This window comes from Homo sapiens, chromosome 4, assembly GCF_000001405.40.
Source record: "Homo sapiens chromosome 4, GRCh38.p14 Primary Assembly".
Classification (NCBI taxonomy): Eukaryota; Metazoa; Chordata; class Mammalia; order Primates; family Hominidae; genus Homo; species Homo sapiens.
Genome location: NC_000004.12, coordinates 11,215,407 through 11,231,902, shown reverse-complemented (window position 1 = coordinate 11,231,902; position 16,496 = coordinate 11,215,407). Strand labels below are relative to the sequence as shown.

At 40.9% G+C, this 16,496-nt stretch overlaps 4 annotated features.

Moving 5' to 3' along the window:
• Positions 399 to 1,147: an enhancer, noted in NCBI's record as "OCT4-NANOG-H3K27ac-H3K4me1 hESC enhancer chr4:11232380-11233128 (GRCh37/hg19 assembly coordinates)". NCBI's record gives its function as "activates a minimal SCP1, AML or CMV promoter by ChIP-STARR-seq in primed H9 embryonic stem cells {active_cell/tissue: H9 hESC(primed)}" and the evidence as "EXISTENCE:reporter gene assay evidence [ECO:0000049][PMID:30033119]".
• Positions 6,072 to 6,267: a silencer, noted in NCBI's record as "fragment chr4:11227260-11227455 (GRCh37/hg19 assembly coordinates)". NCBI's record gives its function as "represses an EF-1alpha promoter that drives an FKBP-Casp9 reporter gene in an ReSE screen in phorbol 12-myristate 13-acetate-treated (for megakaryocytic differentiation) K562 erythroleukemia cells {active_cell/tissue: K562(+PMA)}" and the evidence as "EXISTENCE:reporter gene assay evidence [ECO:0000049][PMID:32094911]".
• Positions 13,842 to 14,385: an enhancer, noted in NCBI's record as "H3K27ac-H3K4me1 hESC enhancer chr4:11219142-11219685 (GRCh37/hg19 assembly coordinates)". NCBI's record gives its function as "activates a minimal SCP1, AML or CMV promoter by ChIP-STARR-seq in primed H9 embryonic stem cells {active_cell/tissue: H9 hESC(primed)}" and the evidence as "EXISTENCE:reporter gene assay evidence [ECO:0000049][PMID:30033119]".
• Positions 14,386 to 14,930: an enhancer, noted in NCBI's record as "H3K27ac-H3K4me1 hESC enhancer chr4:11218597-11219141 (GRCh37/hg19 assembly coordinates)". NCBI's record gives its function as "activates a minimal SCP1, AML or CMV promoter by ChIP-STARR-seq in primed H9 embryonic stem cells {active_cell/tissue: H9 hESC(primed)}" and the evidence as "EXISTENCE:reporter gene assay evidence [ECO:0000049][PMID:30033119]".

Genomic DNA, 16,496 nt, shown 5'->3' with positions numbered 1-16,496 from the left:
GGTGTCTGAAGTGCAGTGGGAATGAGAGCCACGACCTAGAGCAGTGGGATGCCCAACTCTTCTAGGTGCACTGATAAAGATGAATGGGGCTGGGCGCAGTGGCTCACGCCTATAATCCCAGCACTTTGGGAGGCCAAGGCGGGTGGATCGCTTGAGGCCAGGAGTTGGTGACCAGCCTGACCAACATGGCAAAACCCTGTCTCCACTAAAAATACAAAAATTAGCCAGGCATGGTGGTGTGCACCTGTAAACCCAGCTACTCAGGAGGCTGAGGCACGAGAATCACTTGAACCTGAGAGATGAAGGTTGCAGTGAGCCAATATCGTGCCACTGCCCTCCTGCCTGGATGACAAAGTTTGTCTATTTGTTTGTTTCAAACAAACAAATAGACAAACAAAAAATGAATGGGAAAGCCATCTGGACAAATGGCTGCCAGGTGAAAGTGTAGGTTGCACACAGAACAGACAGGGTGCCCAGGTCAGAGTGGAGAAAGAGAACCCCAGCCAGAGCCGCACAAGGGCTAGCCCACAAAATAGAAATTCCCACATTAGCCCTGAGATGTGGGGATGTACATAGGGGCAAATGCATTGCATGCCCAGTTAGTGTGGCCTGAAGAGCCATTTCTTTCCAATTTTCTTTAAAGGCAAATGCCAATCTGTTTAGGCCACACTTTTTTTTTTTTTTCTAAAGCAGATTAAGGTCTTGCTGTCTGATGACTGCCTATCGGAGAGGCAGGTGGGCTGGCTGTGTTTGGAGGGCTAGCTTGCCATTCTCTAATCTGCTTTTAGCCAGTGATCTTCAGGGAAAGCTGGGAAACCTGGGGCCAAGGCATCATAAACTTTGCTTAAGTCAGCCACCAGCCATTGCTATGCAAATTCTGGTAGTTTCCGGAGACATGAAGGCCTATTAACTTTTTGAAGTGTGATGCAAATGGCTTCTGTCTTATAAAAGCTTTTGTAATAACTCAAACTTCAGATAGAATCTCCCATTTTGTGACTTCATCACACAAATTCTCAAGGAAAACAGCATTTGAGAACTGCTGCAGAGTTACAATGATTTATTTTCCTACTTTTGTCTCTGATTAGGTCCCCAAACAAACTTCTTGCTGCATTCAGTTGGAACCTCAAACTCTGTGTGTATATGTATATATACATATACATACACATATTTTTATATATATATATATTTTGAAGTCAGACTCAGCTGGATTCAAAGATCAGCTTTGCTCTGTACCAACGGCACAACCCTGGAAAAATGGCTTTGCTTCTGTAAGCCTCAGTTTCCCTGTTGTCAAAACTGAAAGGATTTGAAAACCCATCTCAAAGGGCTATGATGAGGATTAAGCTGGCACCTGCAAATATTCACTATAGAGTAGATGCAAGTCACCCTGTTGCTCTTGCTTTCTCTCACCTTCTAATTGCATGAGGTACACATTTATAGGATTCTAGAATACAGTTCTCATCTCATTAACACTTATTCATTTTTGAACATCCAACTCTAAAGTTACTTTATTTTATTATTCAATATTTCTTTTCTACCCTTCCCCTGGGAAATGGAATGAATTGGATGGTCCTGTGTTTTGATTGCATTTTGTATCTGTTATAATACTTATGCTGTTTGAGAATCACTCATCCATATGCTTGTCCATTTAACAAAGATTTATTCAGCATCTCTTATTTCCCAGAACCTGGGACTGTGCTAGGTGCTAGTGATACCATGAAAATAAGATGTTGCTACACTCATAGAACTGTTTGCCCCCCGGACTTGAATAAGAACCACTCACTTGAATTACAATTATCCAAAGCAGTGTCTGAATTAAATTCCATCCAAAGACCAGCAGGTGATAGTGCTGCTATACTACACTGGAACCACGAGGGAGTATGGTTGCAAATCAAGGCCTGCATCTGCCCCCCTTTCATAGTGAAACTTTGAGAGACCCCTCCTCAAGAGGGTGGACAGGGTTGGCAGAAGAATAGGGTGAAGTGTGAAGGGGCAGTGGACTCAGAGGGGTGGGAAGGAATGTGACCTTTCTTCCCCAGAAGGGAAGCATATATAACAAACTGTCTGAAATGTACTGTAATTGATCCCGTCAAAGAATGAAATGTGAAACACTCAATACAAGAAAAAAAATATATAAGGAGGGCCTGCAGGCTCTTCGATTAGACTGCGTGGGTGTGGATCCCAGCTGCTACGGACTGTTTGTGTCTCTCCAAGGTTTGCGTGTTGAAATCTTATCCTTCAGTGGGATGGTATTAGGAGGTGGGGCTCAGGAAGATAATTAGTTCATGAGGGTCGTGCTCACAGGAATGGAATCAGCGCTCTTATAAAAAGAAACAAGAGAAAGATATTTTTCTCTTGGCCCACATGAGGATAACACAAGAAAGCAGCCATGTAGTTTTCCTCCAGCTCAGCAACTTTTAATTTTCTGTTTTGTTCATGGAGCTGCCATTGTATCTGTCATGCAGACAAGTGGCCACAGTTCTCTCTCTCCACTGTGCCCATCCTGCTGCTTACCCCTCTCCAGGCAAACCCTGTATCCCTGCCCCCAATCAGTCAGCAATATCCACAGTTTCTTCCCCTGCTATGCCATCTGTATCCTACTGCATTAAGCCACCACACAGTCCCTTCTGACTGCTCACTATTCGGGGTCACCATCCACACTGCTGCAGACACATCTAGAATGTATCCTTCTATGTCTGGCTTCGAACATTCCCAATCAATCATTGCCAAACTGCTGTAAACCTGCAGTGTGTCTCCAATGCCTTCTTAGTGTGGCATTCAAGGCTCTATACCCTGCTTTTTACTCTCGTCTCTTTTTCCTCTTTCTCCTCAAGTATCTGCTTTCCTACCACAGAATTGAAAATCCTAGATGAAAAGTTTGGTGCAGTGAAATCCTCATACTCTGGGAGGAAAACCCCGATTTTAGTATTGGCTTTGCAAGTAATTTCTAATAAATGTGATCATGGACAAGTTATTTAAACTTGCTGAACCATAGTGGATTTAGTTTTAGTTTTATTTACTTTTTAATCTAAAGCAGAGGTAAGCAAACTATGGCCCTTGAGCCAACCAGCCTGCTGCCTAGTTGTGTAAATACAGTTGTTTTTGGAACACAGCCATATCTATTCATCTACATTTTTGTCTGTGGCTGTCTTTGCATTACAACATCAGAGTTGGGTAGTTATGACAGAGACTGTCAGTTCCACAGAGGCTAAAATATTTACTGCATGGCCCTTTACTGAAAAAGTTTGCCAACTCCTGATAGATAAAATGATTGCTGATATTTCGGTATGTTTTAATACTTCATGATTGCAAGTAACTGACCACATTATGCATATACAAATTCCATGTAATATAAACACTAGTGAAAACTAAGCTGTTTAATTCCTTGTGTATTGCCATTTACATGGTAGGGGAGTTCAGATAGGTCACTTCATCTCTTTTCATCTCTATTTCTTCATTTGTTGAATGATGCTAACATGTACCTCTTATGATACCTTATGATATTTCAAAGCAAAAATACTTGAAAAATTATCTAATGATATCCCTGGCACAAAATAGGTTTTTAACAAGTAGCACTTTTGCTTCCTTGAATCTTCTTAGCTAGTTAATGATGAGCTGTAAGTAGAGAAGGAATACAATGTCTCTCTTATTTAACAGGTCTTACAATAAACTCCCACCACTTCCACATGAATAGCCAATAGCCAAACATGGCTTTGACATCTACATAAAAACATGTCGTACTTCTGCATGTGTCCTGCTCTCCTCCCTTCCCATTACTCAGTCTCATCATGCATAAAATAGATAAATACAATGTGCTTGCATAATTACAGGCCTTACAAATAGGCTCCTTGGGCCAGGTGCTGCTCTCCAGTGTGTAGGATGATGACATTCTTGAGATGCACCAATAGGATTGGAACTTTTTGTGGCAGGACAAAAAGCAGCTTTTCCTCTGATCATGTTGTTTGACTCTGACACAATTTTGGAAAGAGGATCTTCCCACCACATTTTATAAAATGTCCATCCCAAGGAGTAAATGAGGAAGCCATGACAATGTGCTGTTCAGGTCATTTGCTTGGGGAAGAAGTAGCTGAATGACAGCCTTGGCTGGTACACCTTTCGCTCCTCCACCATGTGTGTGCCGAGGGCAGGCTTCCCCAGAGCTGCTCAGAGCCAATGACTGGGGCAAATAGAGTGGAGACTGTAGTTCTGGCTCATGGAATGTCGGATACCTCCAATGGTGACACTGGCTGGACAACTTGCCATTTGCCTTGGCAAAGCATTCATAGACCAGTGCTACAATCTGAGACTCCTCTTATGCAGTCTTCTTCCTGCTCCCTCTCTCATCATAGGTGCCAGACCTGCATCACAGTCTGAACGTTCTCCCTGCCCTTCTGGCTTACTTCCCTTTGCCCCTTCACAGGTGTTTCAAACAATAAATCTCACAGTCCTGTCTCAGTTTCCATTTCTCAGGGAACATGAACTAACCTGTAAATCAGAAACGATCTGAGAAAGCAGCCGGTGAGATGGGGATTGGTTACCGCCTGTGTGACTGACTGGCTGGCTAAGACCATGCCATCCATACAGATATGCAGCACAGATAGACCCTAGCATAATATGGCATCCTAGTTCCTGAATATTTCATTGGTAGTGTTTTAGGACAATATCTTGATGGAGGGACCCCATTTGCAAATGTAATGTTCAGGTATTGGGAACATATGGCATACACCATGCTTATAAGAAGGGTAGAATCAGCTGGTTATAGTTAAGTTGTGTAAATGCCCTATTGAGGGATTAAAATATATTATAAAAAGGAGAGTGTAGAGCCAAAGGAGCACTTAGATGGTGTATAGAGAGGCTCTTATTTCCTGCAATAGAAAAGCAAATTCAGGACTTGACAGAGTCACACCGTTCCATAGACAGTTAAATGCTGAGCCAAGACAGGTCTGTTATGCTAAGCTTAGGGCCTTGGAAGCAAAAACCTTGGTCCCTGAAATGTGGAAAAGGAACATGTAAGTGGAAATCTTAAGGGTCTAAGGTTCAAAACCCTCTGGACCCTCACAGCGTATGACTCACTTGTCATTTTCAATAAGAGCTAGCACTTCTGCTGGGCTAGACTACGTTGCATAGACCTCAAGGCAGGTGCCTCCTACCTCCAGTGGATACCCCCACTCCCTTCCCCTGCAACCTGATTGATAACTAGGGTTAAACCCTAATATAAGTCAACTGGGACGTGCTCAGTCTGACATGGGAGGAGAGAGAGCACATGCCAAAGCAGCTATAAGAATTACCCTGCGTGCACCAGCAGGAGTCAGATGGATGCCACTAGGGTTGTATTTGGAGAATACTTCAACAGAAGGCCCGAACTTAAGCCTGGATATGTACAAAGTTTTGAATTGGTGGCACACTTTTAGGATATGGGATTTAACGCCCTGGCATGGACCCCAGGGGATATGGCACAAACATAACTAAGTTGGCCCAAGTTAAGCAAAGTGGAAATGTTTGAGTTGCCTTGGAGGGTGGTGGAAGAAGAAATAAAGGGGCTGGAGGGATGGGCCTGATGAATCAATGTATTATATGAGGCCATAAGACCCACCACATATTATATTCCAGAGGAAATCAGGGGAAACACCATTTGCTAAGGACATCAAGGATACACTACTAAGAACTTCACTAAGACATCAAGCGGTGGCTCTCCTCTGTAGGCCAAGGCTGAGAGTTGGAGGGGTGATCTCAGATGGGCTTGTTAATGTCCTGGGGATGATGGAGCCTTGAAGTAAGAGATGCAGGTGGTAGCATTTACTAGCCAGAAGCCAGGGGATGTGATTACTGTAATGATGGTCAAGATCATAGGGGCAACCAAGGGGATTTGATCTGCAGTAGTGGGAATAGTTAATAGAATATGATGTCCCTCGGAGTAAAATAGGTGGTCAGTTAACAAGAATGCTATTGGCATCTATATGCAAATAACAACAACAAAAAAGCAAGAAGAGAGGAGGAGGAAATGGAAGCGGTCAGTCTAATAAAATGCCATGATCCCTGGCTCAGTCCCAGGCCCTGAGACCAACTGTAAAACCAGCCCATGGAGTGAAGAGGTAACCAATTTGCTAGGAACAAGGACTCTGCAGCACTGCAGCCAGTACACCCTGTAGTATTTCTCCAGTCCCCTCCCAAGGTACCTATAGCCATCTGTAGGGAGATTGTGTCCTGGGGGAAGGGAAACACCCACGCATTTCAGGAACTACTGGACACAAGTCTAAACTGCCCCAGCTAGAGGAGGGACTTAGGAACCCACATGGAGAAGTGGGTCTGTGCTCCACCGGGATGTACTTCTGTGGCTGTGGACGTCCCCTGCTGGATCTGCCTCCAGGAGCCCCAGCTGCAGGAGTGTGGGTGACCAACAGGCCACCCAGCTGCAGCCGCTGTGAATGCTGAAACGAAGCTCCCTTCAGATTCATCCCTGCCAATGACTGAACCTGACAGTGATGCTGGTTCTGGCCCATTTCTCCTCGTGCAGGACACTTTTGAGGACCTTCCACTCAGGGGCTTGCATCAGCTGGACTCACTTTCTCAGACCCCTGTCCAGTGGACTGAGGCTCTTCCCACCGAATCCTTCCTTCCCATTTCCTTTCACAAATATGTGACCATTGATGTGGTCTGACCATTGCTCTCCCCACTTACTGGTGATCCTTCACCCTTTGTCATTCACAAATCTCCCCCAGTAAATCCCTTCTGCATACAATTCTGCCTTGGCATCTGCCTCTCCATGGACTCAAACTGACACACTGAGTAATCAGATAAATGGAGCTAGCAATCACTTATTCAGTCATTAATTCATTCAGCAAATATTTAACGGTCCCCTTTATGTGCCTTTATGTGCCAGGTACTATGCTAAGGACACAAAGTTTAACAAGTTAGTGTCTCTGTCCCTTCAGGAAAAATCGACTAAGTAAATATTCTCTGATCTATTCTGAGTAACGTGCATAGTAGCAGGGGTTTAGCAGACAAGCAGACTTCACACTCTCAGAGGAAGTGGAGGAGAAGAAAGAATAACTGGATCCTTCCCAAAGGAGCACTTAAGAAGACCAGTCACAAAATTAGGGGCTTGGCAATACTCTAAATACAAAGACTGGAACAACATTTAACCACATTAAGAAATGTGTTAAGAATAGGGAGGATTTGGTTGGGTAACTTGCCTCAGGTCTTTTCAGAAATATTCTTCTTTATGAGCAGGAATTTTAATTCTGGAAAAAAAAAAAAACTGTTTACCAAACCTATTAAAGATTTGCATCCATCACCTGAGTAAACAAACGTATGTAGAGATATCAAGCCAAGGTGTGAGGGAAGGAGGGGCCCTGCAAAGAATTTGCCAAGGAATAAATTATTGAAAATTCTAATCATGTATAAAAACTGCTTGTCATAGCAAAGTGAACCCATAAATGCCTTGAATCTGTCATAAAACTTTATGGAAATAAGCCCACTGCATAACGCCAACATGGCCATTTCAGAACATTATGGCACTGAAGACCGTAATGTCAATTTCATGGGGAGGGGGGCATCAAGACAGAAGTCAAAAGTTGGGAAGCAAGTTATCTGCTTCATTTTTAGGTTCCAAATGTCAGTACCAAGCTATTAGCATATAGCTGTCTAGGATTGTCATTATAAATTGTAAATGGGAGGGGCTAATATGCTTTTACGCATCTCACATCCGTTCCCTTGTTTGGGTTTTGAGTCCACGTTGTGACAGCCATTGCATAAATATCACCTCTGTACAGAGAGAGACACTGGGTTAAGAAAAAACTCCGCCAGGTCACATCATTTATGGCCGAACATATAATAGGACCGAGGTGTTCCATCCTGGACTGTTTTCACTACTCCATACCATGCAAGTGCATTTCCTAGGAAACGTCTAAAGATAAGGGAATAGGAAAAGCCTTTTTGTTATGGGTATACAGATCCATTTTCCTTACACGAACTTGTTGAATAACTTTCCATTAGAAATGTCCTTTGTGCAAATCAGTGCCTCTTATTTAAGCATCACCATCTTCCCTAGCAAGCTAAAAATATTGTTAGGAAATTACCCTAGAAAGACGTACAGATATCTGACCAACGCTCTTGAAGTTCTGAAGCAGTCCATTGATCATCACCTATCTCACAGAAGCTTTTTCAAGACAGTCCTGTTTACCCAGAGCCCAGGAACTCTGCCAGCTGCGAGCCACAGCAGGCGAGAAGAGGAAGCCGCCTCATTCATGAAATCCCAGTTGGGTTCAGCTTGGCGCTGTCTCTGCTTCCCATAGGACACTATGGGGTTTCCATGCTGAGTTCCTCTCAAAAGGCTGTAGATCTCAGGTTTCCACATCAGAGCTCTCTATGATTCTTCCTGTGTGACATGTAGTCTTTGTTCTAAACCCTGGAAGCTGGCGGAGCCTGCTTGACCCATCCGGGAGGCAGACAACCTGAGCTTTCAGAGCACAAAAGAGAGCGATCCATCTTTCGATGGGTGACAGCGTATAGCTCTGCTGGCTCCCTGCTCCAGCAGTTGCCCCAACCCCTGCTGGGGAAGGGAACAGAGAACAGAATGGAAATCTGGGAGCTACTTTTGTCACACTGATGGAAGCTCATAAAACTGGGAACTTAAAGTGCCTCTGTTTTTCTGAATCTTTTAGACGCTGATGTCTGTTATTTAGCTTTCAAAGGGAAAGCACACAATGGCCACTGAATGTTGGGAAAACAGGTTGCTCAAAATTGGAATCAGAGTAAAGGCTCTTAATAGTGTGACATGCCTTGAAGAGTACAGGCAATTTGTAATTGTTAAAAATGCATGCTCCACACCCCCCGAGTGTGCAGTGGAAGCAAAGGGGCCTCACAGTTGCCAACAGTAAGAACAACAATAATTATAATGATTGAAGCTAATAGGTTGAACACTTACATTTGTGAGACACCATTCTAAGGACTTCTATAACTGACACTACTGGATCTTCATGGTAGCACTGGAGGCTAGAAACTAAGAGTGCCTCCACGGGACAGAGCTGAAGGTAGTACACAGACAGGTTAAGCTGACCAAGGTCACACAGCCAGGATGCAACAAAGCCAGATGACTTCCAGGTCACTGGCTTCCATAATCTTTCTTAAAGACACTAGCGCTGGGGAGCACCCTCCAAATTATCTTATTTTATCCACTGTGACAGACAGATGTTATCCTTTCTGATTATGCCTTCAGACAAACAGAATTTTCAGAAGTAAAAACATTTCAATTCTTGCCCCTTGGCACAACTGGGCAAATGGAAGACCATAAAGTTTCAGTACTTTCCCAAAGTTCCAGACAAGTGACAGGGCATAAATTAAAACCTTGTGCAAGGACTATGGTATTTACTTTATACCATGTGTCCTCCCATCCCATAAGGTTGTGTCCATAACCCCAAATTTTTGTAAACCAGCCCTATGTTGAAAAGAAACTATATTTCACAGAGATTTATAAAAATACAGCACAATGATAAAATGGACAGTGATGCAGTTGGCATTGCCTTAGCAGTTATGAATTTATCTGACAGCACCCTTAATAGACAAGGATTTCTATGACGACCTTTAATTTTTGCATTTGTCCTTCCAATACAACGAGTCACATTCTCAGGATCCCATAGCAGAATTTACATTTCTGAAAGTCCACGTTTTCTCTGTTAAGAGTTAGCCCTTGGAAGAATCCTTCCCAGGCCAATTAATTGAGTATACTCTGACTGTTTACAGCTTTGACCACTTTGAATCATAAGCTGTATGTACTTCATGCATATAAATATAAAAAAAATACTGATAAAACACAAACTGGGTTCTCATTTTTGTCATCTGCCAGGCAAAAAAGGTGTCAATAATTTAAGTGACTTTCAAACAATGGGGAGACTACCATTCTTCTCATCCAGAGGACCAACCTTGATAACTCAGTCTTGAAAAACTAATTACAATAGAAAATACTAACTTGTATTAAATATTTTTGATGTATCAGAAAATAATTTGATCAATTTACATGTCTTCAAATTCTCAAATCAATCCTAACAGATAAATGCTATCATTATTTGGGTCATACCTGTGGTTCCCAATCAGGGGCAATTTTGTCCCCAGGGGACATTTGGCAATTATCTGGAGAAATTTGTGGTTGTCACCACTTGGGTAGGAATATGAAGGTGTTACTGGCATCTAGTGGGTAGAGTCCAGGTGTACCACCAAACAACCTACGGTGCACACAGACAGCCCTAAACAATAAAGAATTATTCAGCCCAAAATGTGAACATTGACAAGGTTGAGACATTTCATAATAGACTTAAGAAGAAATAGAAAATCTGAGTAATCCAAATGAGATTCAATAAGTTGAATCAGTAACAAAAGTCCTTCTCTGCCAAATAAAAAGATAGCAAGGTGCTACAGGCAAGTCTTAGGAGAAATCCCAAACTCAATCTAGTTAGTATAATCTTGATCTCTAAATCACACAAGGACATTTCAGAAAGAAAAATGATAAATTCATTTACCTAATGAATTATAATGTAAAATCCTGAAAAAATTATAGCACACTAAACCCAGCAAATACAAATGAATGCTCCCTGACCAAGTATAGTTTATCTTAGAAATTCAAGGATGGCTCAACATCAGGAAATAAGCTAGAGAAAAAGTATGTAATCTAAATAGACGCAGAGAAATATTTGGAAAAATCAAGCTTTATTTTTTAAAAACAAAGGTTTTAGAATATTAAGTCTATAAAAGAGTGTTGTAAATTAACATCGATTGAAGACTTTTAGCAAAGATTGTGCATGATGATAAAATTTAGAAGCATTTAAATTAATGGAACAAGAATTTTGGCAATCACCACATATTTAGTATTGGGTCTCTTCTCTAAAACAAAGAGGAAAAAGAACTATGAATATAAGAATTGGAAATGAAGGGATATATAAAAATGCAGGCAAAGCTACAAACAAACTACTAAAACTAAAAAGATTACTAGGTTGTTGTAAATAAGTTTAGCATATGAAAATGAGTAGCATTTTATACCCTATCATAATTATTTAGAAATTTGTAATGAAAACAACTCATTCACTATAACAACAAATCATAAGGTTCTCAGTGACAAATTTAATAAAAATATAAAATAACCTTACAGAGAAATTATAAAATATTACTGAATGATGTTAAAAATACATCATTCAATGGAGAGCTATTAAAATGTCCATGAAAGTAAAGATTCAATATTTTAAAATGTCAGTTCTCTTAAATTAATTATAAATGCAATACAACTTCAACGAGTTTTTAATGGAAATGATCAAGTCATTACTATTATTTATGTAATAATATAGTTCCACAAAGCCTGTAATAGGTTTGATGCAAAGAATGAGAGAAGAAGAAATGTCCTATGAGATATGATTTTTCAAAATCATACTATCCAAAACAAATGGATACTTGCAGACAAATGAATGGACAGAAATGAAGAGTGATCAGTAAAGCAGCTCTCCATCTATATTTTCTAGATGATAAGGTACTATATGATGAAAACATCATAGTCAATTGATTGTGCTGGCAGTGGAAGAAAGATCATTAATTCCTTATCTCACACCATAAATAAAAATCAATACCAGACATATTTTTTAAAGATCCAATGTGTTAATACTTATAGAAGCAAATGTGGGAGGAAATCTTGAAGACCTCAGGGTAGAAAAAGATCTATTTTAAAAGACTCAAAGAACGCAAATCACAAAGGAATTTTTCTACTTTAAAACTTTCAGTTTAATTAAAGACTGAGGGAAGTAATTGCTGATTCCTATAACTACCAAATTGTTAGTTTTCTAAATTTATAAAGAGTTTTTACAAATTCTCATGAAAATGTTAACAACAAAAAATAATAGAATAATTAATTTTCACAGTATAGAAAAGATACTTCTGAACAGCCAGGAAGCAAATTCATGAAAAAATATTCAACCTTTCTGCTAATCAGGGAAATAAAAATCAGAATCACACCAAGAAAGCCACTTCATACACCTTCCAATTGGATAGAAATCTTACAAATTCTGATGACAGCCAGCATTGTCAAGAATGCTAGAGAATGGGAAAAATCACACACTGAATGAAAATGGTAGACTCAGGCAACTGCCTTTGAGAGCACTGTACTAATATCTCATCAATTTAAGATGTGGGTTTGATCGACTCTAACAGATATCTACCAAGATGTAAATCCAAAAGCTTTTGAACCTGTGCACAAGGTGACATACATAAAAGTTCACGTGGAGGGCTTGAATTGGAAAAAGTTGATTCTGCAGGTGGGAGAAATTTACAAGCCACCCTCTTCATGGAATTATAGTCCCATAAGTTGTGGGATCTTGGAAGAAATAGGAACTTCAGAGGGTAATGTGGTCTGGTTCACGAGGGAGGTAGAGCTGTATTAGCAGTTCTCACCTTCGGGAAAAACCCCAGTGCCCACGCTTGGCACAGAAGCAAAAGAAACACAACCTTGAAAAGAAGTTCAGGCTTTGGACAGTGAGCATATTTGCAGTGACCTGTGTAAGCCAAAGATCTGAAGGCACAGAGACCTTCCTCAGTATGTAGATCCCTATGAGAGTAGCTGGGAATTTCATGATGCCCAGTAAGGGGTTGATCAGATGACTAGCAGACATTTCCATCAACTTTACAGTATCGGTTTTATTTGATTTTATAAAAAAAAAAGTTAGTAATAGGGCTATTTTTGCAAACCTGAGTTTGGAGGGTGATATTCACTCCAGCTATAGACACGTCCACCATTTGCAGCTTATCCATGGAAGTCTTGGTGAGCCTGGAACCTTGGACTAAACGTTCAGGTCTTAAACACTCCTTTCTCTGCACCCCCTCTGTTGGAGCAATGATCACATTATGTTTAATAGCTGAGATTATGCTCATCTCCCCAGTTCCAGGGCCTAGCATGCCTGTCCTACAATAGCCACCCTGGAAATTGTAATGTCTGCCTCCACCATGTCTGGTCACACCACCCACGTTTCTCCTCTTTCACCAGCAGGGGCGCCTAGGTCTCATGCGAGACAATTATATTTTAGAACATCATTTTGAGGTTTTTTTCCCTCAACACTCCAGATATTTTTCATGTGATCCTACTATATATTAAAATGAATTGTTTCTTCATCATATCTCTTCTGAGCCTAGCGTTAAATACTCTGCCAATCAAAGCACAATAGAACTGACTCTCACCTTCAATGGCCTAATTTTGAAATTACAATCCCAGGGATACTGTTAGAGCATTTAGTGTCGACCTTTTTCTCCTGCTGTTCCTCACAGGCTGTTACACTAATAAGCTTTATTGTCTGTTCTATAATCATCAGTAGTTACACAGCTCAGTGGTCATTGCATAAGAAAAACATAGTAATAGGAGAACAAGGTAAACTTAACAATGTATTCTTTGTTCTTCTGGTATATGTAGGATAATGGGCAATTTTATTTTGTTTATTGACCACATAAAGAATTTGATGTGATCTGAGTCCTCTCTGAGGCTGATAACTACATGCTGGAGAGAACTTGCTCCCCGCCAGGAGAATGATTTAGAAATGGTGGCTGGGAAACAGAGACTGGACAAACCAGGTATTCTTACATATGTTTTCTCATTTTGACCGCCCAGAAGTGCTCAACACAACCCTGTGAGGCAGGTGGTGTTACCCCCTTGATAAAAGTGGGAAAGAGGCTTATCAGTGTGAAAGTGACTTGCCCAAAACATCTGAAGTGGCAGGGTTGGGTGTCAAAGAGAGCTGACGGATCATTACTCAGAGTCTTAAATGTCCAACGTCATAGACCTCTCTATCATTACAACTCCTTCTTATCTTTCATCATTCAAGAAATATGCCACCTCCTCCAAGAAGGCTTCTGTGACTGTCATAATAGCTCAGAGTGATTTTAGTCTGCAGCAAACAGTTTGGCTTTGGAAGTTAATTTTTCTTTATCCATCTGTCCTCTTTCTGGGAGAAGTTGTCCTTAATCTTTCAGTTTGAAATAAATCTCCCTTCTTTGTAAGATTGTTAGGCCATTCTCACATTGCTATAAAGAAATACCTGACACTAGGTAATTTTTTTTTTAACAAAAGGCTTAATTGGATCACAGTTCTGTAGGTTTTACAGGAAGCACTGTGCTGACATCTGCTCAGCTTCTGGGGAGGCCTCAGGAAGCTTGCAATCATGGAGGAAGGTGAATTGGGAGCAGGCAGGTCACACTGCTTCTGGGAGGGTGGCCACAGCTGCACCCAGAGAGCTCCTGCCCCAACAACTCAGAAGGGGAAGGGTTCTTGCTTGTTCCGACTCCCACCTGCTCCATGGGGCAGCAGGCCCAGGTCTGCAACCACAGGTCAGGTGTCTTGCAGCTGCACCCAAGAAAGCAGATCCTGCCTGCTCCAGGTCCCCCGCAAGAGCACAGGGGAGCTTAGATTCGCAGCTGCAGTTTGGGTGGCTATAGCTCCTCCCAAGAGGGTGGGACTCCTGCCTTTCCATTGAGCAGGAGGCCTGGGTCTGCAGCCATGGTTTGGGTAGCTGTGGCAGCACACAGGCAGCTGCATGGAGTGTGCAGCCCCAGCCACACCTCCCTGCTGCAGACACTGCCATCACAGGTATTAAGTTACAGAATCCTAACAGCTCTATGAAGAAAGTACTCATTCCCATTTTACAGATGAGAGAATGGAGGCGCAGAAAGGTTAAGTTTGCCCAAAGTGACACAAGCAAGCAAAACTTGTTCAAGTATTAGAGCTGGGATTCAAACCTAGGCCATCTGCCTCTTAACCAACATTGTTGAAAGTAGGGGTCACAGATACTATAAATTGAAGATGGGCATTACTATACTCTGTAGAGTAAACGAAGTAGCCTACGATAAACCCAAATTAATTACTATGATGCTAAACTCACAGCATTTCTAATGGAAAAGAAAGGAAGGAATACTTGCTAAGCACCTATTTTATAACTGAAAAATAAATGTTACTTCAGGTAATGATATTCATAGCAAAGAAGTTATTGTCACCATATTACAGAAGAGGGGAATAAGGGTTAGAAAGATTAGAAGATGTGCCAGCTGCCCCTCAGTTCATTAGAGGCAGGACTGTGATTTGAACCAATGGCTCATATGAGTTTTATGTCTAGCATCTTAGTGAGAGGTGCACCCTGTCACATGCCATGGAAACTGATACCAGAGTTGTCAATGTTCTTTCTGCAAAACAGCCAGTGTAGCAATTGGTTGCTTGCTACCAGGAGCTCTCATTACAAAAGTCACTAAATCAATCTAAAAGAATATTTTTAGCATAGAAGAGTTTTCTGTTTTTATGACAATTTACCAATTCACTATGGTTCATATTATTGTGTGGTGCTTTGCAGTACTTTGAGGACAATTTTTGGCTCCCTATTAATTTTCCTGGTCTTCTCTCCTACTTTTCCTATTGCTGAGAGACAGGTTGGGTTTGCAGAAATGATACTGTGTAATTTTTTTTTTCCCGTGATAAGTTGCTGGAAAGCCCACATTCACTGTATGCATTGTCTCCTCTTTGTGATCAGTCCTTCTGCTCTGTTAATAATTAGAAAGATAGTGTCCCTGTCTTCCCTTTGCTTAGACAAATCATAGAAGCATCTCTTCATCTTTTCCCCATTTTCCTTTCTTGCCAGCAAAGTATTCTGCACTGATCAAAGGTATTTTATTCAAGTGTCAAAAGTGCTTCTAGGGGTGCTCCACTCCAGAAAATTCAATGTCGCACAAACACAATGTATGTATAATTTATGGATAAACAGAAAGAGCTTGGCAGGTGCTTTTGATGAATACTGTGACAGTTGTAAATGCTCCCAGTTCACGTTTTTATGGATTTAAAGGCCAGATTTTAGTGACCAGGTGACTGAAAAAAGTGATATTGTTTCTCCTTCTAATTCTGGTATAAAATCATAGCAATGGCAAATGTTATTATATGAACAACAATCACCACAAAAATAAAGTAGAACTCTTCCTATGAGCTACACTTCTATTGACTTGGAGGTTCACTTTCTTTTTCTTTTTTTTTTTTCCCAAAAGTAATTTGTTTGCACCTGTCACCTTTCAGCTCTTTGAATAAAATGCTTTGTGTGAGAAGCCTTCAGAGAGATAGTCCTATGCCATAACTGAATATAAAAGAAATGTGTTTCAGCTCAGTGTTTCCTTTAGTTCAAATAAAACAATTTAAAAGCTTTATGAAAATTATAGTCCACATCGAGATCATAAGCCTGAATCACCTTCTACCTTCATACACACACACTTTCATGTAGACAGAATGAAATATATAACAAAAATATGAACTGCCTTGCAGCAAAACAGTGCAGTGTCTCAACATCTGGATATCGTTTTTTTTTTTTTTTTTTTTTTTTTTTTTGCTATTGTTGTTGTTTTTAGCTTTCTCCCTGAAAATGTGATTCTGCTGCTGCAGAGAGTATATCTAATGAAATTAGTGCAATCATTTGCAGGGATAAGTAGTTAATTCTTAGCAACTGACA